The sequence below is a fragment of the Homo sapiens genome, chromosome 13 (assembly GCF_000001405.40).
Source record: "Homo sapiens chromosome 13, GRCh38.p14 Primary Assembly".
NCBI lineage: Eukaryota > Metazoa > Chordata > Mammalia > Primates > Hominidae > Homo > Homo sapiens.
The window spans coordinates 43301082-43326774 of NC_000013.11; the positions used below are offsets into that span (position 1 = coordinate 43301082).

Consider the following 25693-nt stretch of genomic DNA (forward strand, 5'->3'; position numbering starts at 1 on the left):
TGATGAAGAAAGTGTTGGCACTGCATAGGCACATTACTACATTTAGTAGCATTCAAAGACACTTAAGTCATTTCCTTAGGAAGCTCTATTTGGCCCTTTTTCAATTCAGAGTGGCATTTTTATTATCATAACTGATAGCAGGTGTTTGTGAAGAAATCGATTAGTACGCAGGGATGGAAATTACATTTTCCAAATGAATTGCATAGTCTGCAAGATATGCTGAAATCTGTATAGCAAAATGCAAGCAGCTATAAAGCATGTGCCAACAGCATTATTTAAATAAATTATCTGAACATAAATACATATAGGAAAGTGTACCATCCATTATTTTAGGGGATCTCTTACAAACCTATGGAATGGTACTGCTGAGAGTTCTTATTCTTGGCTAAGCCAAGTGACTACAGTGCCTGCCAAGCAGTATATAATATTGTTTGCATTCCCGGAATAGGAATGTGATATCATCATATTAAAAAAACCCACAACAGCTGTAATTCCCCCACCAAAAAAAAAAAAAAAATCAATACCATAGCAAATTCCATCAACATTTTTATAATTGGGGCACATAACTGATTTACATTCCTGATTAAATGATTTCAAGCTTGGTTTTTACAAAAAAATTTTCGTTACTCATGTGGCAGCAAGTAGTTATCTTCTAAAGGGTGAGAAATTGTATATTGACTCCACTTAGCTTCAGGCCACCTGTTTGTAAACACCACTCAGTGTCATACTGCAGCCCTGAATCTATTCCTCAGACAAGGCTGCCTGGAAGAGGCTATATTATGTTTCTTGGGCCAGAGCGCTAACAGAAAAAAAATCCTAATAATTTCTGACTTAATATAACTTCTCAGTATATTAAAAATTCAGAAATTGGAAAGGGAAACTTTTTATTTCTCTCTCTTCTCTTTCTTTCTTTCTGGAATACTGTACTAAATTAAAGAGTTTTGAAAAAATGTGTCATCAAGCTTCCATAATAAAATTTACCTTATGAGACTGCACAATGAATCCACTATCCAAATAAGTATAAGGATTAAAAAAAAAAAAAGTACAGTGTGCATCTTTCGGTAGGAATTCCTAAGGAGTGCACCGAGTGCCAATAAATGGAATATGTAAGAGACACCCCATGTGGATTACCAATTTCCGATAATAAAAAAAGAATAGAATTAGACACCTTAAATGTCAACCGGACTGAATGTGATTAAATATTTTGTTGGTGATTTTAAAGGCACTGCTGAATCTAGTGGTGCCTCTGGATTACCATCAATTAATTCACCAGCCACCCATTTATGTATTTATTAAGAAAACATGGTGAGGAGCTGTAGCATTCACAAGAAGCTTAAGGCCAGCACAGTCACCCATTTCTAGTTACTCAGTAATTTAGAAAAATTCTGAATACTGGAATTTTCTGATTGGATCAAAAATGAAATAATAAAATTGGAAAAATTTTGCTAGGCAAGATTGTTATACTTCAAAACTTAGCACTAGACTAAAAAATGACCAAAGTGACACTAATGTATGAAAATCAATCCAAAGGTTGAACGGCACTGCTGAAGAAAAGGCTTAAAGGTATTGCGGCATCTTGTTATATTCTTTACTAGATTCTATATAAACCATTATTCTTTATATTAATTATGGTCAAAGTGACCTCCTCTTCTGTCTCCTGTCTTACTGTGTTTCCATGGGAACAGATAATGCCATGCTTAACTTCTTTAAGTAAATAATCTGGAGAAAGCCTTGAAATCTCTTTTACCAGCCTGAGCCAGCCTCAGAAAAATAGTTAGCAATATATGAAAAATGTAAGTTGTTTTGGGTTATGTCCCAGTAAGCTGACAGTCTGTTAATATCTTTTTCATGCTCAGGCAAGATGTAACTAAATAATAAAACATTTTAACATATCGTTTCTAACAATATCTGTGTTTCTCCAGAACTCTTAGTCTTTGTGTGTTTGGGGAACTCTGTGTTTAACATTCCCCCTCCACTTTGCCAGATGTCCTCCTGAAATGCTGGAAGGACGCTGCTGAACTGTAGATTTCCTTCCCACATGCAAAGAAAGTCTTTTTCAAGAATTTCATTGGCTGCTACCCAGGAAGGCAGTTGTACCGATAGCCCCTGAACACAGGAGGGCAGAGGCAGGCTGGCCTGGCAAATGTCACCACAATATCTGTGTGCCTTCAACGGCTGCCTCCTCAGCCACGATCCTGCCTCCTGCTCCACTAGGAAAGGGAGCTGTAGTTATGGCCCAGTGACAGGGACTCTCTCCAGCTTCTATCTGCTTCTCTGCATTCTGAATCTTCTTGTGAGGTGCCTTGAGGCCTTTAGAAGCTATTCTGTGGCAGAGACATTATCACGCTGTGTACTCAAACTCATGCTTCTCTTTGTATAGAGCAGTGTTGCTCCTGAGAGGTGACTGCCCTAGAGGGTGCCATGTGAGCAGTCTCATCAATGGAGTGTGAGGGGGAGTGAGGATGCCTTCTGCACAGTCCCTCAGTCTCTGCCTGCTGCTGGAATAGGCTTGGGTCTCTGAGTCACCACATGGAGGAAAGGTGCCCACAGGCCCAGAATATCTGCCTTGGACTGTTGTGTGCCCAAAAAGTAACACTTTTTTTTTTGGTTAGGCCATCTTTATACAGCAGCTGGTGTTACTCTAACCCAGTGTTCTCCAAACATTGGCCTGCATTACAAGCTCCTGGCGGGCATATTAAAACACACTTTTCTGGGCCCTACCCTCAGTTTCCAGTTCAGTTTGTCTGGGAGGAAGCCCAAGAATTAGCATTCTTCCAAGTCCCCCAGGTGGTGCTGATGCTGCTGGTGCAGAGACCACACTTTGAGAGCCACTGCTCAGACCGCTGCTCATTCTATCCCGATTCCTAAACTGGGGTTGTGGTTGGCTTGTTTGGAGAAATGCTTCTGAAAGAACCACATGCTTGGCTTGTCATTCTGGTTTTATTCCTTGATCTCCTTTTGTATGAGCCCCGACTCCATGTTCTGCACCTGGGAAGGCAGCCCTGTTGCATCCCTGTGCCCAGGTCCCATGAGCTCAGCTTGCCCCGTGCCCTGGCTATCTCCTATGGAAGATTTGGGCAAAAGGCACAGTCACTATTCTGCTTTCTTCAAATAACAGTAGCAGTAATGGGAATAGCAACAGTGGTAGTGACAGCTAATGATTTTTATGTGCCAGGCACTGAGGTAAGCATATTCTTTACACAGTATCCTTTCACCATCATGAAAACATGATACAGTCAATATGATTATTATTTCTATTTTCCAGATGATGGAAGTGAGTTTATGGGAGACAGAGGTTGCTGGTTGGAGGTAAAAGGTGTGGCTCTAGGACTATATTCCTCCATGTAATGCCACCAGGCTAGCTTAGCTCCATGTAAGTGCCGCCCATCCCAGAGAAAGGAGTAAACCAGGGACCCTACTGTAGTGGCTAGTTTGCTCCTAACAGAAGTAAAACATTCAATTTCTGGCTCTATCTGGGGAGTGTTCTGCTGGAGAGAGACTCTGCTATGAAAGCAGAGAGGATGATCCTGTTTTAAAATAAACATGCAGGTATTTTCTGCAGGACAAACTTGGGGATGATTTATGGAGAAGTTAAACTCACTCTTCAGGAAATCTTGAGGCCTGGCTGGAACCACTTAGGGATCCTACTTTCTGCCCTGTGTCCCTCTCCTCTCAAACGGCCACACTGATACCCACTAATCCCAGAGCTCAAGAGCCTGAGTTGCTAATAATGCTTTATTGAGAGAGTTTTGTCCATAGACCCATGCTGATCTCAGGATTCCCAAAGATCCAGTATGAGACTATTCACCCCATCCATCTGAACTCACCTATGTTTGATTTTTAAGGTGTCTGTGCCTTCAGTTAGAATAAAGGTGACAGAAACTCCTCTGCGTTATGCTGACCTCCCATGAACTCTGTCCCCTGAGTCTACTTTGCTTGGGCTAATGAAGGCCAAAGACAAGGACCAGTACCATGTCAGAAGATTAACAGAGGCTTGGGGTCCTTCATCATTGGTAGCCTCATTCTCAGTGGCTGCTGTTGCCATCAGTGCCTCCCAGTGGCCAGGCACAGAGCTGGAAAGTATCCTAGGATGACATCTGCCAACAGCCAGTCTCCTGCTGGAGAGCCTCTTATGGTACCAACAAAGTACAATTGATCTGCTTTTCAATAATACCTGTATCACCACTGATCAATCTTCCTCAAATTGCTCACGGAAATTTCTTCTGCTACATTTTTGCAGGATTATTATTATTACAACTTAGCATTGACATAACATTTCATATGTGCAGTGTGTATTCGAATCTGCACATTAGCTATTATTAGGGAAAGCTAAACAGAAGCACAATGCAGTGTCTATTTCCATCTTTGTGTGAGGCCAGCGGAATAAGGGTAATTTCGGGAGTGCAGGGTAAGCTAGATCCTGTTACGATGATGGCTTAAATGTGAGTCTGGAGGCACAATGGGCAGCAGGTGACTCAGGAAAAAAAAATTCTCTGCTCCTTCCTCCAGAGAGCTCTTCCTGAGGAAGTACTCTGCACCAGCAGCAGAACTAGGAGGTGCTGCTGGGCTGCTGCCACTATGGAGACTTCACATCATGCCTCATCACTTTTCCATTTACATTACTATCCTCTGCTCCGACCCAAAACCATCCCCATTTTCCTCAGAGGAAAATAAGCAAAGGAAAGAGACATGTTCACTTCTTGCAAAAGCAGGATAAGTCTGTCATTTAAAACACTGTTGAAGGATGCTCTGTCAGGTGAGGATGCCTTTAGAGTCCTCCGGGAAACACATCAGAAGTGAACGCTGCAAGCATGAGCTGAGCTCCCTACTCTAAGCCAAGCCGGGGACAGGGCAGGGAAGCAGAGCTCTCAGCCCCTGCCCAGCCTGGCCTGCGCAGCTCCCAGCCCAGCCGCAGGAAGAGCTACAGATATGGAACCTGGTAGAAACTGGTTAGAAGGGCTCCAGGAGGGGCCATCCTCACACTGTGTAGTGGGAGTCAAATAAGGGAGAGAAGGCTTCTGGCTGGAACATAAGAGCTGGGGGAGGCTCTTTATGGAAGGCAGTGGTTGAGCTCACACATTGAAAAGCTGAAGGAAAGCAGAGTGGGACTGCTGCACAGTGGACACTGCTTTACCAAAAGATTCGGCGATCTCCAGGAGGATGTGCCATGGCTATGGAGAGGCGAGCAGGCTGCTTCCTACTGAGCCCCAAGGCCAGGCAGGAGCATCTCAGGAGGGGGCACTTTTCCCCACTCTTCCTTTTCTTTTAATTCGATTTTAGTTTTCTTTTTCACTTTCAGTCCCTATTTTGATTTCCAAGATTATAGGGCCATTTAAAAAAAATCTTCTAAAGGCTTTAAAGATTCTTTTTTAGGAAAGTCAGGCTTAGCTAAGCCAAGCTAGACAATAAAATGACACTGGCTTTCAGGAATTGTACCCCCTCCCCTGCAGACAGTGCACCTCCCTTGGGTGTAGTACTCCACCATGGGCTTGGCTCTGTGTGACTTCATCCTAACTGACAGTAGTTGGTCTTGGCCAAAGACAGAAACTTTAAACAGCAATCCTTCCCTCCAAAACAACTCCTCTCATTTTCTCACCAATCTACAGTATAAAAGCAGTGATCTCTTTTTCCTCCCATCTTACAAATGTCCTTCCTTTTTAACAAGTGGTCATTTCTAATTTTCATCAAGAAACTTTCCCCTTAAGAAGTGTATTTCCCCTCTCCTGCTCTACCCTCTACATAGAAACACACACACGCACACACACAGTTATATTAGTATTTGAATTGGTGCTTCTACCATATAAAACACATCCACACTATGAAATGTGAAATGATGGCCAGCTCAAACCTAAAGTATATCTTCTCAGTTCTATGCATTGCTCTTTGCAAGGAGTAGCATCTTTTTTTGTAAAGTTTTTATTTTATAGTGCCAAATACTTGCAATAATGGGTTGAACAGAAAACTTTTTTTGAAAGTTACTTCCGCCTTAGGTAAACCCTAACTATCCAGACTAGTAAGTGGGCACCAAGACTTCACTTTTATGCTTGGGCAATGACTCTGCTTGGGCTGTCTCTGAGCCTCCTCCTCCCCACTGTTCTCATTACCAACATTGAAATTGACTTATGAACACTTACTTGTGTCTGGCAATAGGATAGAAAGTATCTGCATCCTCTCTAAATGTATAACCAAGGTGGGAGGACCCAGTATGAACAGGTAGCTGGCATCTTGAGGTATCTGTACCACTTTGGTATCTCTTAAATGAGAAACCTGGGACTCATCCCAGATGTTACGAATCTGAGATTCTGGAATGGGGCCCAGGGATGTGCCTTTCAGCAAGTTTCTAGGGTGATTCTGATGCATGCCAACATTTTAGAGCCACCTCCCTGGCCTTTAGGGACCAGGTCCCCACTTCCTAATGCTTTCTTCATGACTTTCTTCTAGTCTTAGATTTCTTTCATTAGTTTTTCATATTTGCTTTCTTTCAGCCTTTTCCAACAGCTGAAAGGACCTTCTCTCCTGCTTTTACAACCCAACACAGCCTTCTGGGCTTCTCTGCCTCTGCCATGTCTTCTCACATTCCATTAACCTATCGGCCTGCTCCTTGCTGAATGCTACCTCCTGCCTCTCCAGGAATGACACTGTGACTGAATGCTTGCGTAAATCCTACAGGCAGTGTCTCCAAAACACATTGTCCTCAACTGCTCGATGTTGTTGTGCATTACTTTTCTTTGCAGCCATATGTCTGGAGAAAGTTTCTGCTATGGCAGGCTTGTGGCTTGCACCCAGGAGAGGCCAGGCTGAACCTCTGGAACTAATTGCCCTTGACCGGGCCCCGGGAACAGCCTTTTCACTGTGGGAGAGGAGGCCCCTCCCATGTACACATGCTTACCACACCAGTCTCTAGATTCGCAGAGGCTTTTCTCCTTGGCGAGTGGCCAGGCATGCCTGCTTCCCTCTCTCACTGCTGACGGATGAGCAAACAGTTCCTGTCTATTCTCCTAGAGGTAGAGAAAGGCAGAGACTCTGTCCTTGGCTTGCATCACCACTCATATCAGGCCACCCTCCACACTTTGCCCTCCCTTTTCAAGCCGCCCTTTTTTCCAGTGAACCAGAGGATACTCCAAATGTGCCCGACACAGACCTGTGAGGGGACTTCTCCACCTGGGTCTCACACGCTCCACTTAAACTACCTCCCTCTCACTTCTCCTTTCTTTGCTCCTTTATCATTGCCTATGTCAGTCACTTCCTGTCCACTACAGATTTTTATACTTTACTCCATTTTTGTTTTCTTCTCATTCCCACATTACTTTACCTCACCTCAACCCGTTTTGTCCTTCTTTCCCACCTAATAGGTGGGAAAAGAGGTAACCTTTCTCACATCCTCACAAAAAAAGTTTCTGCTTTGTTCATTAAAATGATTTGTTTTGCATTTCTGGTGAGTATAATTTTTCAGGTAGCAATATTTTATTCTTACCAGTGCCTCCTTAAAAAGCCTTTGCAAGTGCTGAGGTGCCAGTTAAGCACTATATGACAGCCATCATCCTCACATTACAGGCCAGTGGTTTTCAATCCTTTGTGCAGCGAATCACCTGGGGACTGTTTTAATAACACCGATGCCTGGGCATTAACCTGCGGCCATTGGTATGTGTATAAAGTTTCCCAGGTGATTCTCATGTGCAGACGGGGCTGTGAACCACACATTCACACCTTCTGCTCTACACCAGCATCAACTCTCCACATTGCCACAGTGCCTGGTATTTGCAAAATGCCACAGAATCCCTTAATTGTTTATTTCTCACAGTCTTATTGAGGAACTCTCAGGATGAGCCTCATGTCATTGCTGAGAAAGCTGAGGCTTGGTGAAGGGATATTATTTGCCAAGCCATGCCAGAAATAAAACCAAGGTACTTCAAGGGCCCTCTGACCTCATCTGCTCAAAGTTACTTTTTTTTTTTTTTTTTTTCCAGAGTCTCGCTGTCACCCAGGCTGGAGTGCAGTGGTGTGACCTTGGCTCGCTGCAACCTCTGCCTCCCGGGCTTACACGATTCTCCTGCCTCAGCCTCCCATCTAGCTGGGATTACAGGTGTGTGCCACCACACCTGGCTAATTTTTGTATTTTTAGTAGAGACAGGGTTTCACTATGCTGGCCAGGCTGGTCTGGAACTCTTGACCTCAAATGATCCGCCTACCTCGGCCTCCCAAAGTGCTGGGATTACAGGTGTGAGTCACTGTACCCAGGCTCAAAGTTACTTCTTTACTGTACTCACTGACTCTAAACTCCCCCTGCCAACAACACTTGTTCTCACTCATAGAGGTCCCTTTCTCAGAGCCATTCTAACACTCTTACCACCCAGATGAGCCTCTCTTCCAAAGAGAGTATCATAGTGAGCTTGGCAGTGCTTAGTAAGGCCCGACAGTGGAGAGGAAACGCAGAAGGAAGCCAAGGACTTATTTTCGGAATTCTCAATATTTCAGTGATTCAGATGGCTTCAGTTCACATTCTTCAACTGGACACATCATCACTTCTTTTTATCCCCAGAGTTCGAGTGCCACAAAATCTTGCTTTGACAAACTCAGCATTAGTCTTGGAGTCCTTGGGCAGGGAAAATGCATGTATTTTATAAACTGTCTGGATGGATAAATTACAGCAATTTTTCCCTGGGAAAGAGTTGTTCAGACATTTAAACCCTCTATATATTGAGCATGATAACCTTTCTCACATCCCCACAAAAAAACAGTTTTTGCTTTGTTCATTAAAATTTGTTTTGCGTTTCTGGTGAGTATAGTTTTTCAGGTAGCAATGTTTTATTCTTACCAGAGCCTCCTTAAAAATCCTCTGCAACTGGGCGTGGTGGCTCACGCCTGTAATCCCAGCACTTTGGGAGGCTGAGGTGGGCATATCATGAGGTCAGGAGATCGAGACCATCCTGGCTAATACAGTGAGACCCCGTCTCTACTAAAAATACAAAAAATTAGCCAGGCGTGGTGGCACACACCTGTAGTCCTAGCTGCTTGGGAGGCTGAGGCAGGAGAATCGCTTGAACCCGGGAGAGGTTGCAATGAGCCGAGATCACGCCATTGCACTCTACCCTGGTGACAGAGCGAGATTCCATCTCAAAAAAAAAAAAAAAAAAAAAAAAAAAGCCTCTGCCAGTGCTGAGGTGCCAGTTAAGCACTATTAATCAAACACTAAATGCTTTTTAAACAGCTCTACCTTTTTTTCTAATTGAGAAACAGAGCTGTTTGGGCAAGTTTATGAGGTGACCTTGATTGAATTAAAGAGGTCAGCGATGGAACAGACTTCAAACCCATATTCAATGATTTTTTTAAAAATGACTTCCTTCCAATTAAGCAGAAATTAGCATAAAATATTTTGTTTCTGAAAGGTTAAAAGAATTCCTCTGAGAAGGCAGCTGTCTTGTTACTAGCTTTTTATTGAACATGAGAGGGAAGGGACTATGGGTAGTTTCATCTAAAGTGCTTTGTTAACATGACACTGATGATCCAGCATCAATTACAATATTCCTTAGGAGCCTAAGTGTTACGTAGAAGGGTCAAAAAGTCCATTTTAAATTTTATTTCCTATTTCAAAGTCCAAGAACCCAATGACTTTCAATTACTAAGAAAGAAAGAAAAGAAAGAAAGAAAAAAGAAAGAGAAAATTAAATCAACATATAGTTTATCATTTGCAAAAATTGCAACCTAGTTCTACAGAAAAAAGCTTCAGTCATTACCTCTTTAATTCAATCAAGGTCACCTCATAAACTTGCCCAAACAGCTCTGTTTCTCAATTAGAAAAAAAGGTAGAGCTGTTTAAAAAGCATTTACTCATCTTCCTCTTAGCCCCATCCTTCTGCTTGCCATAGTCCCCCACATTTTAATGACCTGAAAGAACATCACCTTCTTCCTACCAAAAAGAGTAACATACAGAGTGTCTGATATATAATGATGGAAGCAGAATTCCACAGAGGGGAGGGGGCACCACACACAGGTGATACTTTGGGGACTACTGGGTGTGTCTGAGGCACAGTCACCCTGAGAGACACACTCGACATAACATAGTGCTCTGCATCCCACATATCTACCCCTGCCAACCTCAAAGAGTCGAGTGGACGTGGATTATATAGAGGAGAGAGGCACAGGAGTGCTAGAGAAAGAGAAGGGGCTCTGAAGCCAGATACCAGCTATGAGGCTTAGGGCAAGAAACTAAACCTCCAAGAGACCTCAGGGTCCTTATCCAAAAAATGTAGTCAGTACTGTGAGGATTAAATAGGTAATAGGGTTTTTTTTTTTTCTTCAAAATGAAAAAAATATCCCCCAACAGATTAAAAATTAGTTCTTCCTAGTTTTAATTTCCTATCCATTCATTTAACAAAATCTTGCCCCCCTACCATGTACAATGTAGTGGGCTGGGCATTCTTTATGTTCAAGTTTATGCTCTCACACTTCTTTATGTTAGAGTTTATCTACTAGTTTTTGGCTATGACTTCGGAGGGCACAGTGGGCAGAGACTGTGAGGACCTGTGATCTGACACTATTCCAAGAAAAGCCGAACTGATGTTATGCTACGAGGATTTTTCAGAGGAGAGAAGCAACCCTTTCAGATCCAAGTCAGTGTCTCAGTCTTTCAAGACTTTGTTAGCTATTCTTTCCCCTTAATCTGGCACTGTAAAGAAGACAAAGGATATGGTCCCACACACATTGTGAGAATTTACTGAATATTTGTTGTTTTAATTTTATCACTGCTTTGTATTATGACATTGTTTAAGACAATTCGTGGAGGCAAAGGATTAAGGGTAGAGAAATGGATGGCTTTAGGAGGCTCGGTAGATAAACTACACTAGAAAAGTCTAGTATTGCATGTGGAGACATTTCATAAACAACTGACTGGTAAATCACTACAAGAAAAATAAAATCTCTCATGGTACTTCCAAAATATCTTCTAAATATATGTTGTAGATTAAGTTGTGCCTGAAAACTTGTAATCACAAAAAAATCACAAGTATCAAATATAAACTTGTATTTATTCAGCAGCTCACCTGATCATTATTTGGGGGTACCAAAATTCATTTTTCTCATTAATTTAGGACATTGGGGGAAGGGAGAAGACATATTACTTCCAAGATCAGAATTTCCCTGAGTCTGTGAATCTCAAGAAGATTGATATTACTGTAGATGAGGTCCCTCAGACTCTTATTTTAAAGCTATATTGGAGGCACATCTCATAAAGAAAAGCCTCGGGAATAGAGAAACAGGGAGAGGCACTTCAATAAGTCTTGAAATTAGATGGTGAGTCAATAAACTGGTGATCCTCAGGTAGGCTCTCCCAGACCCTGGGGGTGCAAAGAAAACATGGGATGAGATGGGAAATCAAAGGGCTGATATTGTAGCTCAGATCATTTCAGATCAACCATCAAGCATGTGCCTGAGGTTTGAGGAACGTCTTCATTTTTCTCTTTATCTTTTTGGGGACTTATGAAATGGAAAACATGGGTTGTGACAGTGTGTATGGTTACCAAAGGAAACACATAACACAGCAGTGAACATCCCTATGCACTTCACCTCTTCAAAGCATTTTCTTTTCTTCTTTTTCTTGTCTAAAGCCATACAGCAGACTCTGCTTTCAGGAAATAAATGTCACTCAATTAGCAAATGGGTGGTACCAATTTCCAGAATAATTTTTAAGGGTGGCATTTCTGTTGGGATGGGCTTAAAAAGAGTTTGCTGGGTGCGTTGCCTATATTGAAGCAAATCTCCTTCTAGGTAGTGGGAAAATACAGAAAATGACGGGAAGACCAAGCAGAAGCCCCAGTCGGCTTTGTCTGGATTAACATTTTAAGGTAATAAGCATCTCCAGGCTACCTTTGCCTCTAAAAGGCATTATGGCACCATGTACACTGCAGGCACTCAAAATCCTTCGTTGATTTTATTTGGTTACTGACTCTTATGGTATCACTGAAGGCATTTGAAAGAGATTCTGGAGTCCTTTTCCCATAAAATTCATTGGTGCCATAACAGGGTCATTAACCTGAAAAGGAGAAAGCTAGTATTGAGCTCTAGGCTTTCCACTTACGATCTTGGGTAAATAACATAACTTCTCATCATTGCCAATCTCTCTGTGGGTAAGAACTCAACATTTCTGCCTGGTTTAGAACTTGAATTATTTCTTGGATCCATTATTTAATATTTATACCAATATGATTAGCTCTTAGAATAAGAAATTATAAGATTATGTGGTCTGGGAAGGTAAGCATATTATGGTGAGTTAAATGTGGAAATTCCCTAATTTAAAGCAAAAGAAGGCAATTCAATAAACTATCATTATCTGATACTAGTTACTATTCCTTACTATTCTTGACTTTCCAGAATGACTGAAAATGTCTAGGGAGTATTCCTCAATCAACATGGATTTTTTCATAGATTCTCCTAGGTAATTTATAAATTAATATTTATTGTAGTTTTAATTATTTAAATAATACATGCATATATTGACATTTTTGAAATGCACAGAAAAAAAATCACTTGTAATTACACCATCTGGTGATAATCAGTCTGAATATTTTGACCTATATCCTCACAGATTTTCCCCTAACATAAATTGTGAATATAACACATACACACACAATTGGAATTATCCATGCTGGTTTGTAACTGCTTTTATCACTTCACAACATATTGAGAACTTTCTTTCATTCCATTATATAGTCTAAACCATGGTTTCTTTCAAGACTGCTCATGGATATACATTAATTAATCAATACCCTAGTGTTCAATGTTTAGATGTTTCTAAATTAATTCTGAGAACTGATAATTTAGGTAACTGCTTTGAGCTGCAATGACCAGCATGCCCCAAGTAGAAAGCAAGGGCCTTTGGGACACAGCAGCTCTAGAACTTAAAGGGGGCTCATTAAAGACCCTGCAATGCCCTGCCGGAAATGCTACAATTAATAGACTCTGTCTTGTAACTTTTGCTCCAGAAATGTTCTTCCTACTTCTCTGCTAGTGATGGGAGTCTAAAATAAAATTTTCTTTCTCTAGCCACTTCCTAGAAGGCTTCACACATTGTGTCCTGGAACTGGGGAGAAGAGTTGCTGAGCTCTTGCTCCCTCTTTGATATCAAGAGCATTCAGTCAAGTGAAAGAGAAGGGTCTCTAAGCCATTTAGATGTGGGAGAGCTTACTATAATAATAATTTCCTATAAACTTCAATTTCCAGGGCTTCTAAGTATCATATAATGGCAAGTAGAATTTCCAAGAAAGGGAAGGAAGTACTTACTTTTTAAATTAGTTATGTGGCTCTTAACTACCTACGGTTACTAGAATTCTACAAGACATCATCCTGTCTTCATTTTCTGTGTTCATGCAGTATCCCTAGCATCTTCAAGTCTTCGATTAACGAAGCTCATGTGCAACAGTGTTAGGAGTCAAGGTATAATAGCTTTATGTCACCTACTGTGTTTTGATGAACAATACAGTATAAAAGCAGAGGAGAATTAGGACAATGATGTTCATCAACAGCACATCACTGTGCTAAGAGGCTGGTAACAGTGTATGTTTTAATGTGGCCTAGTACTGATTCTTTTGGCCAGTGTCCTACTTTAACAATGTTACAGTCACACTTCAAGATTTCAGATGGAGAGGTAGAGAAGAAAATCAATAGATACTATTTTTCCACTACCAACTGGCCTACATATATATAGCTTCTCTGCCATACTCACATTCAAGGGACCTAAAAGATGCCTTTGGAAGGTCTGGCCCAGTTACCATGCTTTTAATAACCTCAGGAATCTACTCTGACCACCTCAAAGATTTTAGCTTCATCTCTCAAAGGTCCACAGGAAAGAGCCTATGATCCAGGAAGAATACAAACTTATTTGTTCTCTATTTTCTATTCCATTAATATATAAAAAGAAAACTTTTAACAAAGGCTTGCTTGTTACACAAGGACTCTTGTCTGAAACCAAAATCATGTAGAATTTTATTCCTGAGCCTTAAAAAATACACGGAAAAATACTTATGTAGTTAACTGTGCAAAAGAAAAAAATTAGAAGCCAAAACATTCTTCTGTAATGTTATAACACAATTTTGTTTTCTTCTTTATTCATTATTCTTAGTTGTTAGGTTTTCAAAAATGACCAGGTATTATTTTTATTCAAAAAACAACTTTCATTTTTTAAAATGTTACATGCTGCTAGAGCGCAATGAGGTGACCTACTGAAAGTGTTTTCTATGAGCATCTGCTAGAATCACAGGTGAGCATTTGACAAAATTCATCGATGTTGTAAAGGGTAATCCGTTTTTCAAAATCAGAGATTCCTGAGTATTGCTTATAAATGAAAACGGAAAATCAGGAATAAATTCTACTGAAGAATTCTCTCCTGTGTTTAGGAAAGAACAACAACAATAAAAAGCTTACAAAGTTGCCCAGATTCTGTCATCTAAACTCCTTCAAAAAATATCCTGATTTTTTCTAGAAGTTGTGCAAACCGCACTTAAATTCCAACAACACTGTGTTAATTTTGCTCAAACGCAAGCTGAAAACATATTTTAACATCCTGTCAGAATGAGATACTAAGAGTGTCGATAAAATGACACTAAAATAAATGTAAATTTGGATTGCTGTTACAAGTGGCTGCTTGGCTCTGCTAAGACGTTAGGTTGCTATAGTACTTTCCATAGCAACTTTGCATCTTATTACATAAATATTCCCTCAGTGTCCTTCAAGCCTGCTACAGAAACAGGATTAAATCCACTCTCCTATGTAATGATCCTGCATCAAACCTTACCGGAATGAAATGCCCAGAACACATAATAAACTGTAATGTAGATAATGGTGTTCCTGGCAGTCAATAAGCATCAGGGCACTTTGGGCTGCACACAGGCGGCGGTGCAGTGACCCTGTACTACTCCCTGGTCATGCGTCTTAACCTTTCCCAGGTCAAGGCGTCAGTGGCTCTCCCTTTGTGAAGATTGGTTGCTCATGTCCTCATTCTCCTCCTCTCCCTGCCAACTGCCCATCAGCTCAAGCCCTCCACCAGGCTCAAGGGACTCATAGCACTAAGCAAGAAGCCAGGGCCTGACAGGAGCTGGGAACATGCTGGGCTGTCATGCAGGAAACTTTGTGGAGACCCCACCCAGGTCTAAGCTAGGATCAAACAGGTATGGATTGTTTAAGAACTTCAGCTAGGCCTCAGCTGAATTTCACCGAGGTGTGGCACAGTTGAGTAGTTAAGAGTATTAGGGAAAGTCCTTGGTCCTGTAGACACCAATGTCAGCAACACAGATTAATCTTACATAAAATACCAGATTATGGAAAGTTTGTGCACATATGAGAGAGATGTCAAGAATCATGGCATTGATAGGTGCTACATAAAAATAGGATTATAAAGGGGCTAAGCTTAAAGACAGTTTAGGCTCCAAGTGTGAATTTACAAAACAAACACAGTCTGGTTGGGCAGAAGGAGTGCTTCCATTGAAATGGAATCTTCTGCTACAGGATCAATTTAAATAGCATCTGTTTTCCTGCATTTAAAAGGTGAAGCAATTTACAAAAAAAAAAAAAATTCTACACTTTTCAGAAGCATATCCATTACGGAAAGGGAATTGTAACTGCACATGAAATTAGGGAACTTAAAAATCCACCCAAAATAAATATTTATTTGAATTCCTTGGGCAAGATTAGCAAGATTAAAAGAAAAAAAAAAAAAGGAAAGAAACAGGAAAGCCTTGGCTCCTTTGCAAATGAAACTCTGTTTAGAGTTTAGGAAGAAAGCAGGCTACTCAGCCCACCTTGCAAGATTTCTTTTATCATCTTTAAGCCACATTAGTTCTGATTCATCACATTTCCTTGTTTGGCCCCCTTGGGTTCCCAGAAGAGAAAATGCTTGTCTTTAATTCAGTGGTCAGTGATGGACACACCCCACTGGTCTATTTCTCTTTCAGGAGATGGTGCCCTCGGCTGTCATTACATGTGAAAACAGCTTATCCTTCTATGCTTCCACTCAACACAGACACCCCTGCCCTTGGGGTCTGCTGGCGCCCGGAGCTCAGATCCTGGCATGTGGCCTCAGACTGAGCCATCTCACTTTCAGTGTCTGAATTCTCTTGTCCCTCTGCCAAGTTCTGAGCCAATCTCGGGTGAGCCTGCTTTCAGTTACATTCAGTGCTTCCTAAAAGGAAGTTTCTACCAGTGTGAATGACAGAGCCCCTTGCAGTTGGCCCCTTCAGTCAGCTGCTGCACCCTGGTCTGGTATTTAGTAACCCTCTCCTTCTTCTGTGCCTGGCTGGTGATGGGGTAACAGTGAGCCTCTTCTTAAGCTTGTGCCTGATTATAATCTTCCTGATGGGCATTTTTAAGGATCTTTCAGAAGTACTACCACCCAGAAAATACTTAATCAGAAAAAATAGGTTGTCCTGCTATTCAAAGAAATCAATGGGATGGTCAGAGAGCCCTATTATTATTATTTTTATTACTTATTTTTTTTTTAACATAAATCTTCCAGCTACATATATAACTATTCAGATAGGCTGATACTGCTAGTTCCAACCAAACCTAATTATGAGTTCCTAATTTGATTTAGTGGCTGAAAGATTTGGAAAGTCCTTGTTTGAATTCTTAGTGAAATTAAAAAAAAAAAATTCCGGGCCAGGCGTGGTGGCTCATGCCTGTAATCCCAACACTTTGGGAGGCCGAGGTGAGCGGCTCACTAAGTCAGGAGATCGAGACCATCCTGGCTAACACGGTGAAACCCCGTCTCTACTAAAAATACAAAAAATTAGCCAGGCGTGGTGGCGGGTGCCTGTAGTCCTAGCTACTCGGGAGGCTGAGGCAGGAGAATGGCGTGAACCCGGGAGGCAGAGCTCGCAGTGAGCCAAGATCATGCCACTGCACTCCAGCCTGGGTGACAGAGCAAGACTCCGTCTCAAAAAAAAAAAAAATTCCTTTGTACCTATGTTATGGTGAATTTTCATGAAAAATTGACAGCTCAGAAAAACACTCTTCATAATTTAGAGTGTCTGCTCCTATAAGGAGCTCAGAGTTTAAATGAAATGCAGTTAAAATCCAAAAACATTTGTTTGTGTATTATGGAAAGGCATAATGATTGTCTACTGAGCAAGGGACTTTTTAGTTTTACTCTTCTAACATTTGTGTTCAAAGTACACTCATCAAATATTGGGTGAGGTACATACACTATGTAGTGATGTTCATTTTGGTTTATAATAAATTTAATTTACCAGCTTTAGGACATCCCTAATATTTTTAACTGAAAACACTTTTTTCAAATGAGTCTTACACCCTAGAGAACTGGGTACCCTGTATCTAACTAACTCTGTGTGCCCTGGGTCCACAGCACCTTGGACATACAAAATGTAGATAATCAAAACAGTGCTGGGTTAAAGCTCTCTGGGCCATGGCCTGTTCGCCATGTGACACTGAATTTTGTACGTATAAAGTTCTGAACATTTTGTTTGAACATGCCTCTTTAATACTTGCCATTTCAATTTAATTAGAGCAAATGTTCTCAGGGTTATCATCCTCCTATCAACTTCTGGGACAAAGGCATCGAAAACATTAAGATCAGAAGAAGGGGAATATGAATTGAAGTCCACAGACTTTTATTGATTACGTACTTGGGGAAAGGCCCAGGGCCACGTGTTGGAGGATGACTAAGATAACAAGCAGAGTTAACATTTATTGAGTACTTACTAGATGCTCAACACTGTAAGTAAAGTCAGAAGTGCCTTGCATGCATTGACTTATTAACTCTCACAATACTAAAACGTATCGGGTTTTGCCATCTGAGGCCTTACAATCTAGGACAGCCTTCCTCTTTCCTTTCTCCTTTTTATTTCTTGCGAACGCTATCCCGCCCCACAGAGTCAACCTGGAGGGAGAGAGGGAGGAAGGGAGTGGAAAAGGGTAAGGGAGAAGGAGAGAGGGAGAGAGAGGGAGGGAGGAAGAGAGAGAGAAAGAGAAAAAGGAAGAACAGATCTGGATTTTAAAGTCTGGCTTCATTTCAGTAGGAGGCAGACTAAACAACAATAAATTTGAATTTTTATCAAAAATTATCTTCACAGGCTTCAGAGCAGGATGCCGATCTTCTAGAATGAATGCTTCAATAAATCTGTCATTATTTTTGAATTTATTAACAAAATTGATTTTCATTTTTATCAGCATCTTAGTTTTGCTCCAGTGAACTCCTTTTCCCCTTTAAGATTCAACTGATCAAGAAGAGTGAACACCCCACCCAGAATTCTATTGTAGATACTGCAGAATTATAGCCAAAGACATATTGCAAATTATTATATATGGTAAAAAGAAAAGTACAATGAAATATTCTTCATAACCAAAAAGCAGAGATATATTGAAACATTTTGATTATTTTTTAAAAAGTAAACCCAAGGTATCATATAAGTCCTTACACAATAAATTGTGCCTTTCCTAAAAACCAAACAAGTCAATTATTTCCATCTCTTCCCTGCCCCCCAAAATAAAACCCATTACAGGGTACTTTTTGTCTTAGTATGGAGATGACAAGCAAAGCTGGCCCTGGGGGACCACAGACAGAGCGCCCTGCAGTGGGTGCAGCCTCAGCACCTCCTCCCGGCACAGGCAGGTGACAACTGAAGGATATTCTCTTCTGGAATTTCCAAGAATTCCTGGGTCAGCTACTACCCAGGAGGTCTGAAGCAAAATCCCACTGTTTAAGCAGAGAGGAAATTGGCAGGGGATTCCTTACAGCATGGAGAATTTCACTTCCATTACAGCACTGGCAATTCCCCTGTTAGTGAATTAGAGTGCTACATTTTGAGAGGACTGCTCCTATGTAGGTGACTGGCAGATGCAAATGTGTACCTAAAAACAAGGGATGTGTCACCCAAGAAGATACCGCTGGAAGGTGTTTCCCTCGGGCTATGGCCTCCATCCTCCTGCTTCAAGCAACAGTTAGCAGGGATTTGTCTGAGGTTTGAACAAAAGACCAGATGGGAATTCTTGCTGTCAGGCTGTGTCCCCAAATATGCAGGGCTGAAAGAAAAACAACTGCCTGCCTTTGGGCCAGATCTTCAGGGCCCCGTGGAATAAAAAAGGTTAGTTGCCTTCCTTTCCCTTTAATCAGTCCTGTGCTTTCTTCAGAAACCACATGCCACATTCTCTGGTCCATCTCGTTTTGAAAAGCACGAAAAGACTTTGAACTGCTCGGGGCCTGGCATTTGAACTCCGGTTCTTTCATCTCTTCCCTCAGAACTTGGCATACAACATGCCCTGCACTTTGCTCATTAATTCTGCTGACCAAGTAACAAGACTGGTGAAAGTTTTTTTTAAAAGTTCAGGCTCTACTTCACGTTCTCATCAGATGCCTGGGGAATAAACCGAGAGAGGTGTCGGGGGATCACATCTCCGTCGATGCTTCTGCAGCAGAGGCCGGGCCCCGATCCTATAAGCATGTACGTGCCGCAAGACCTCAGTGAGCATACTATTCAGAGTCATCATTATTCTGGTCCTATCCTAAGCAGACTATGAAATTATACACAATTCTTACTTGGGAAATTGACAAGTTATTTAAAAAGAAACATCACCAAGACAAAACAAAAAGCCACAGGTTCAAATGAGAATTTCTGACTGATGCAGTTCTTTTCTCCTACACCTACCTTGTCAGGATATTAAGAATCCAAGTTTCATGTCAACTTGCCTCTCATCCAGAAGCTTCACAAAGGATGAAAGCGCTTTTGACAAAAAAAAAGTTTATTTCTTTATTTGAAGATCTTGTTGAACTTAAGAAATTCACACAAATCCTTGCCCCCTTCTTTTGCTATGTGAAGGTTTGTAGAATAGAAATCCTGTGAGGAAGGTGGTCTCCTCAAATAAACAAACCCAAGAGTAAAGCAGTCCTGAGGAATCTGATCTGGGCTTAGCAGGAGACATACATCATTGACACATAAGTGCTGGGTTCATTTTTCAGACAAGGGATATATGGCTTCAGAAAATAGTGGCATGGTGCCTACTTGTATGTTAAGCACCTGAAAGATTAAAATGAATGAATTTGAGGGTGAAAGGGAAAGTTTCTAAGGCAGTGGTTCTCAAACTTTGGCATGCATCAGAATTTCCTATAGGGCTTAAATCACAGATTGCTGGACTTCACTTCCCCACACCCTGTAGCCACTAGACGTTTTTGATTCAGCAGGTCTTGGGTGGGGCCTGCTAACTTACATTTCTAATAAGTTCCTAGATGATGCTGGTGCTACTGGACTGAGAACCACACTTTTGAGAACCACTGCTTTAAAGAAATTAGAGCCCTTTCTCTATATGCCTGTAGGCAGGAGCTTTTTCTTATGACCATCACTCGCACCCCTACATTCTCTTCTACAGCCCTGGAGAAACAGAGCATCCTGACCACTTTGCAGTCTTGGTGACCTGATCCTTTTAGAATCTTGATTTTGGTTTCTTAATAAATTAGTAAAGATCCTCGATTCCTGGTCACCTGCAATCTTTCTGTTAAAAAGTCTCTAACAGGTGTATGTTTTATTCACTTATACACATGAGGAGACAGATCAAATCTATACCATCTCTGTAATTTTCTTTTTTGGGAATGATGGCAATTATGGTTCTTCCTAGGTCCTTCGGACAACACCCTTCCAATCAGACAAGCAGTCTCCCTTGGTGTCTCATGTTTTGAATGAGCTTTTCCCTTGCCTGTTTTTACAATACCAATGGATTTATATATAATTCAATGAGAGCGTTTTAAATCAGCAGCTCCCATTAGACAGAGCACACAAAGCAAGGTTCTCTCTAAGTTTCTCTTCTTTGTACAACCTAAGGAGTGACACCCCTAGCTTGGTACCAAATGGGGCCAGCCTTTTAATTACAGATTAGGTGAAAGAACATTTATGGGAAAAGAAGTCTAATTCTCCAGCATCTTGGCTCAGAAGCTAGAAAGCTTCTTCAGGGATTAAACAATTCCCATGTAAGAAGTACACTGACTAAAACCAAATTTTATCCATATTTTTAGCATCAGCTGTGGCTGCCGTACTCTGGAAAAGGATTTTCATGGAAACAGGCAAATATCCCTGAAAAAAGCTTAATGGCCCCAGATCTACGTACGGAGAAACAACTGGAGCAATTTAAATCACTCTGTTCCCAAGAAGGAGTTTAAAGTTCTATTAATAAAAAGCAGAGTCACTCAAAGATGAAAGTTTAGTATAATTCAAATAAAAGTGAGTTATAGGGCCATTTACTTATTCCCCATCTGAGATTTGGAAGATCATTATGATACCTCATGGGTCTGTGGCAGTTATCGGCATTACCTGATTCATCGACTCTCATTTTCTTTGTAGGGCTGTCACAGTTCTCATCATCAGACATTTCCATTTCTTCTTCGCGGCGGATGCCCATGAGCTGCTCACTTTGAGCATTCCGGAGCTCCTGCAAGTAGAGGATACACAAATGTCAGAGTCACAGACACATATGGCTTTCCCCAATGGTCTTTGGGTATATATGACTGGCATATTAACATTCAGAATCCAAAGCTTTTATCTCCCAAATATAGCCTCACCTAACCTAAAGGAGGTTCTGAGGGGTGTGGGGTACAGGGGAGACTGAGGTCAGGCTTAGATTAATCCCTGCTCACCCATGACTAGGGCTCTTTAGCAAATAATTTAATCTCTCTTGAGTCTCAATTTCCTCATTTGTACAAAGCGGATAATAACATCCACCTAATAGGGCTGCAAAGATTACATAGAAATACCTGTTACATGGCTGGCACATGTACAGTAAGGACTTAGAAATTATGGTTAAGAACATGAACAGTGGAATTTTAAAATGGACTGTTCTACCACTGACCCACACGGTGTGACATTAGGAAGGATTCTTCATCTCTATTAACCTAAATTGCTCACTGGAATATTATGATTAAAAATAGTTTTGAGGATGAAATGAGTTAATGAATGTACAGTACTTAGCATCATGCCAGACACTTGGTTTGCTCAGTTGATAATGCTGGACATTATTATTTCTCATGCAAACATAGTGCCCCTGCATGTGTGTATGTGCCCATGTGTGATCACATACACACACAGGCACACACACACACCATTCAGATATCCAAAATTCAAAATTAGTAAGATGTTAGGGAACAAAACACAAACAGATGCCCTTTCTTTCGTATTGCACACGGTCATGTTGGGGTTACTGTTTTTGTTGCAATGGTTGCTTTAGCATCACATAATTTAGAGCCACAGATCTTAAGATCACACCTTACTTTCTCCATTTATTAGGGGAGTGACTACAATCAAGTTATTTATTTGAGACTTTGTCTAGTCACTCACAAGTGAGGAATAATAATACAAGGCTGTTTACATGTAGTAGCATATGTGAAAACTCATTGTAAAGATTAAAGAATTACACAGGAAATTTCTTACTACTGTGCCTAAAATCTGAACATTGTAATACTTATGCTAAGTATTTATATTATTATTTTGTATCAAGCTGTATATTACATATTTGTGAATTCTTCCTTATTCATTCTGTTCTCTTACATGTACTATCTTCAGAAATACTTAAAACAGGGGAAGCCTCCATTATTCTTTTTCCCTCTGTAAAGTCTCTAAATAAAAATCAAATAGTTAAAATAATTTCATGTTATGATCAATAAACATATGAGTAATAATAAAACTAAATTACTACAACTGATTTATTAGGGGCATGACTTGTGCCCATTTGATGGACATGCATATATCACTCCATGTTATGGGTTTTCTCCATTCTTTTCTCTCCTTAGCTCACAGATTTTAACTACAGCATGATGGAGAGGAAAGTATTTATTGCTAACAGCATTTGAATGGTCAACTCTGTACCCTGGGAATCACCCTTGCAGAAGACAGGGAAGGGAGAAAGCAGAGAGACAAGGTCCGAGGTGGGGTGCAGGGGCACCAATCACAGGCAGCCCTGAGAGGCCAGAGGGAAGGCAGACAAGGCTCCTAATTTGATTATGCCACCCAGAATAAACAGGTGCCAATTCCATCTTAAATAACACCATCAGGCATTGGAGGTGGGTGTCACATGTGATTAGTGCGGAAATTTTTAGGCTGTGGACAGCTAATTTTTCTACTGACAAAGAGCCCAATTCCCAAAGAGGTGGCTTAACACTTGAAACAAGGAAAAGTCAGGTGGAAAGAATAAATGAGGCTGAAAGGGACTGTTGTTTAGTCCCTGCGATTAATGACAAACTGTCATATGGTAGTTGTTCTTGTGGGAAAGGGTGGTGGAAAAGAAAAAAAAATTGAGGAAAAAGAGCTGAGGGTGTTTCCACAGGGTGCCTCTGGTTCAGCATTAAATCACTAGTACACTCTAATAAATCTGTAGAGGTGTTGCAGATAATTAACAGATGCTGTACATGGGAATGTGGGAAAAAATCAAGCCAATTATCAAGCTTATACGCAACTGAGAAATCATCCACAATGTTAAATTACCAACTGGTATTTAATCAATTCAGCGACATGCAAGAGAAAATCACAGCTAATTTAGAATTCTGTGGCCTAATGTATATCAAAAGAGGTGGGGAAAGTAGCAGGAAGGCAAAAAGACCCTTCGCAGGAGCACCTTTGACAGCTGCACTCCATCTGTCCTTCTGGAGCATCATTTCTGTCTCCTAGTACCAAACAAAGCAAGCAGGCTCCTTAGACCTGCATGGAAGCCTTCACACGTCCTGCTCCCCACCACACCCACGCAGAGGAGGCAGGGTTAAGCGAAGGTGAGAAGTTGAGGCAGACATGGCAGGAAGTGTGATTCAGATCAATATGTGACATTTGCTGACACTCACATTCTAATGATGGCCTTTTTATGCTCAGGTTTATTCGGCAGCAGGCCACCAGCCTTTCTCTCAACATTCCTTTTAATCATGTTTGGTTTTTATGTGAAAAAATAAATAATTCACAGACTGATCATTCCCAAATCTGAATCATAGTTTATGGACTCCAATTTGTGTTTTCATAACCCTCAGTTTGTCTACTGCATCACAAACAGAGGACTCTTTTTTTTTTAATCTTGAAAATCAGCCTTGACCTCAGTCTTAAGTCAGAGTCAGGGAGAACATCAGGTAAGCACCCTTCATTTTTCTGGCCCCTGAAAAATTAAAGAGAAATCCCACCTCTTCCTTACTCATAATCCTGAACAGAAAAACAGAACTGTATCAGTCACCAACCACCGTAGGCATTAGTGAACAAACTAAAAAATGTCCTTCTTAACAATAAATTGCACTAGCATTTTAAGTGTCACATTATTGTGAAGTCATTCGGTATTCACCATAATAACAGTGATAATAAAGAATTCATTTGGTATTCATGTGGATATTACATCTAGTGCTATTGGTATTCAACTGTAATTTAGCATTAGTTAATGGGCACTTAAAATGCTACCCAAATGATTGATATCATAGTACTTTGTGATTCCTCAAACTCTATATAAAATACTTATTTTACAAGTGTAAGCCAAAATCATTAAATAAATAAACCTTACCTTCCATAAGTTTGGGATTTTGAAAGAGGGGAATGTCATTTAGAGAACTTTAATATTAACATGCTAGAGATGGAGAGGCATCCAAATGAAAAACATTCTTTCATTAAAAAAAAGAAGCAAAGACAGTATACTTACTTTTAAATTACAGGTTCAAAGCGTACACTACTCTGTGGAGTTAAAAATAACAGCTGGACGACCAGTGACTAATGACACATTTTGGTCCTTCTAAGTGGCAAGGAGGTCAAATTCTAGACTGTTCTCTTGGGGGTAGATACTCACTTCACACATGCATGGTTGCTGATGGGTGGACCCAGTTGGCCTAGATATTCACTCCCCTTACAACATTGGATCTGGAGAGAAGTGTAATAGGACTTAATGGCTAGCATAGGGACTAAGATGTTGCTTATGATAAGAAAATATGGACGGAAAGGCGTACTTGTCCAAAGAGCAAACTGTCATCATCACGTAGAACACTAAAAAAAAAAACCCTCTGTATTTAAAAGCCAGTTTTCTATTGTAAGCTCCATTTTTCTTCAAAATAATTTGCTAGGGAAAGTGTCTTGGTTTATTTCTGAAATCTTTACTATGAATGGGAAAAAGTATTTTCTCCCATTGCAGGGGAGAAAAACACTGTGTTCCCTAAGTGTTAAGTCAGCTGCTTTTCTGGACAAGGAACAAATCTCAGCTGCATTTGGAGCTGACAGTGAGATCAGACAATGGCAGGCGGACTGCCCACTATAACAGAAACCATCATGGCTGCAGCCATGCTATTCTCTGCCAATCCAGCTGTGTGATGGTGGTTAAAAAGTAATAATAAAATCACCAACCTCAGAATGCTTTCGCCAAATGTCTATGTTCTTGCGCTGGGCTTTCGAGAAATGGTCCCAAGCTTTTTGTCTGGTAGAAGCGTTGAAAACGGCCACAATCTGCTCAACTTTGGTGAACAAGGAAGTCAAACAAGACAAGTAATTTATGTTGTGATCACTATAGGGAAGCAAAGCAAAGACACTAGGAGTCTATGGATGATGTCACAATAGAAACAACATCATCAATATCCATCCAATTTGTGCCTTTCGTACTTACATTTTAGCAAGGTTGGGGATGTCTCCCTTCAAGTCTGTCTCCACAACTTTAGGTTAAAACAAATTCTAAGTATGACCGGGAGAAGGGCAAGGGCATCTAC

The 25693-nt window shown here is 40.8% G+C and overlaps 1 protein-coding gene across 31 annotated transcripts in view, besides 2 other annotated features; it reads right to left on the reverse strand.

The window, feature by feature from the left end:
• ENOX1 (ecto-NOX disulfide-thiol exchanger 1) overlaps window positions 1-25693 on the reverse strand; it is a 573843-nt gene that overhangs the window by 87952 nt on the left and 460198 nt on the right. For 27 of the 31 annotated variants that reach the window (NM_001347965.2, NM_001347963.2, NM_001347971.2 and 24 more), the window contains 2 exons: window positions 25338-25444; window positions 21303-21420 (listed from right to left, as the gene is read on the reverse strand). In NM_001347965.2, the coding sequence (NP_001334894.1) occupies window positions 21303-21420; window positions 25338-25444 (225 nt within the window). Of the gene's footprint in view, window positions 1-2926; window positions 6999-8239; window positions 8594-17598; window positions 17885-21302; window positions 21421-25337; window positions 25445-25693 lie in introns of those variants that run through there. The other 4 variants (XR_007063686.1, XM_047430428.1, XM_047430429.1 and 1 more) reach the window with 4 other exon arrangements.
• Window positions 2196-2425: an enhancer, noted in NCBI's record as "active region_7668". NCBI's record gives its function as "activates an Ori minimal core promoter by ATAC-STARR-seq in GM12878 lymphoblastoid cells {active_cell/tissue: GM12878}" and the evidence as "EXISTENCE:reporter gene assay evidence [ECO:0000049][PMID:35858748]".
• Window positions 16023-16102: an enhancer, noted in NCBI's record as "active region_7669". NCBI's record gives its function as "activates an Ori minimal core promoter by ATAC-STARR-seq in GM12878 lymphoblastoid cells {active_cell/tissue: GM12878}" and the evidence as "EXISTENCE:reporter gene assay evidence [ECO:0000049][PMID:35858748]".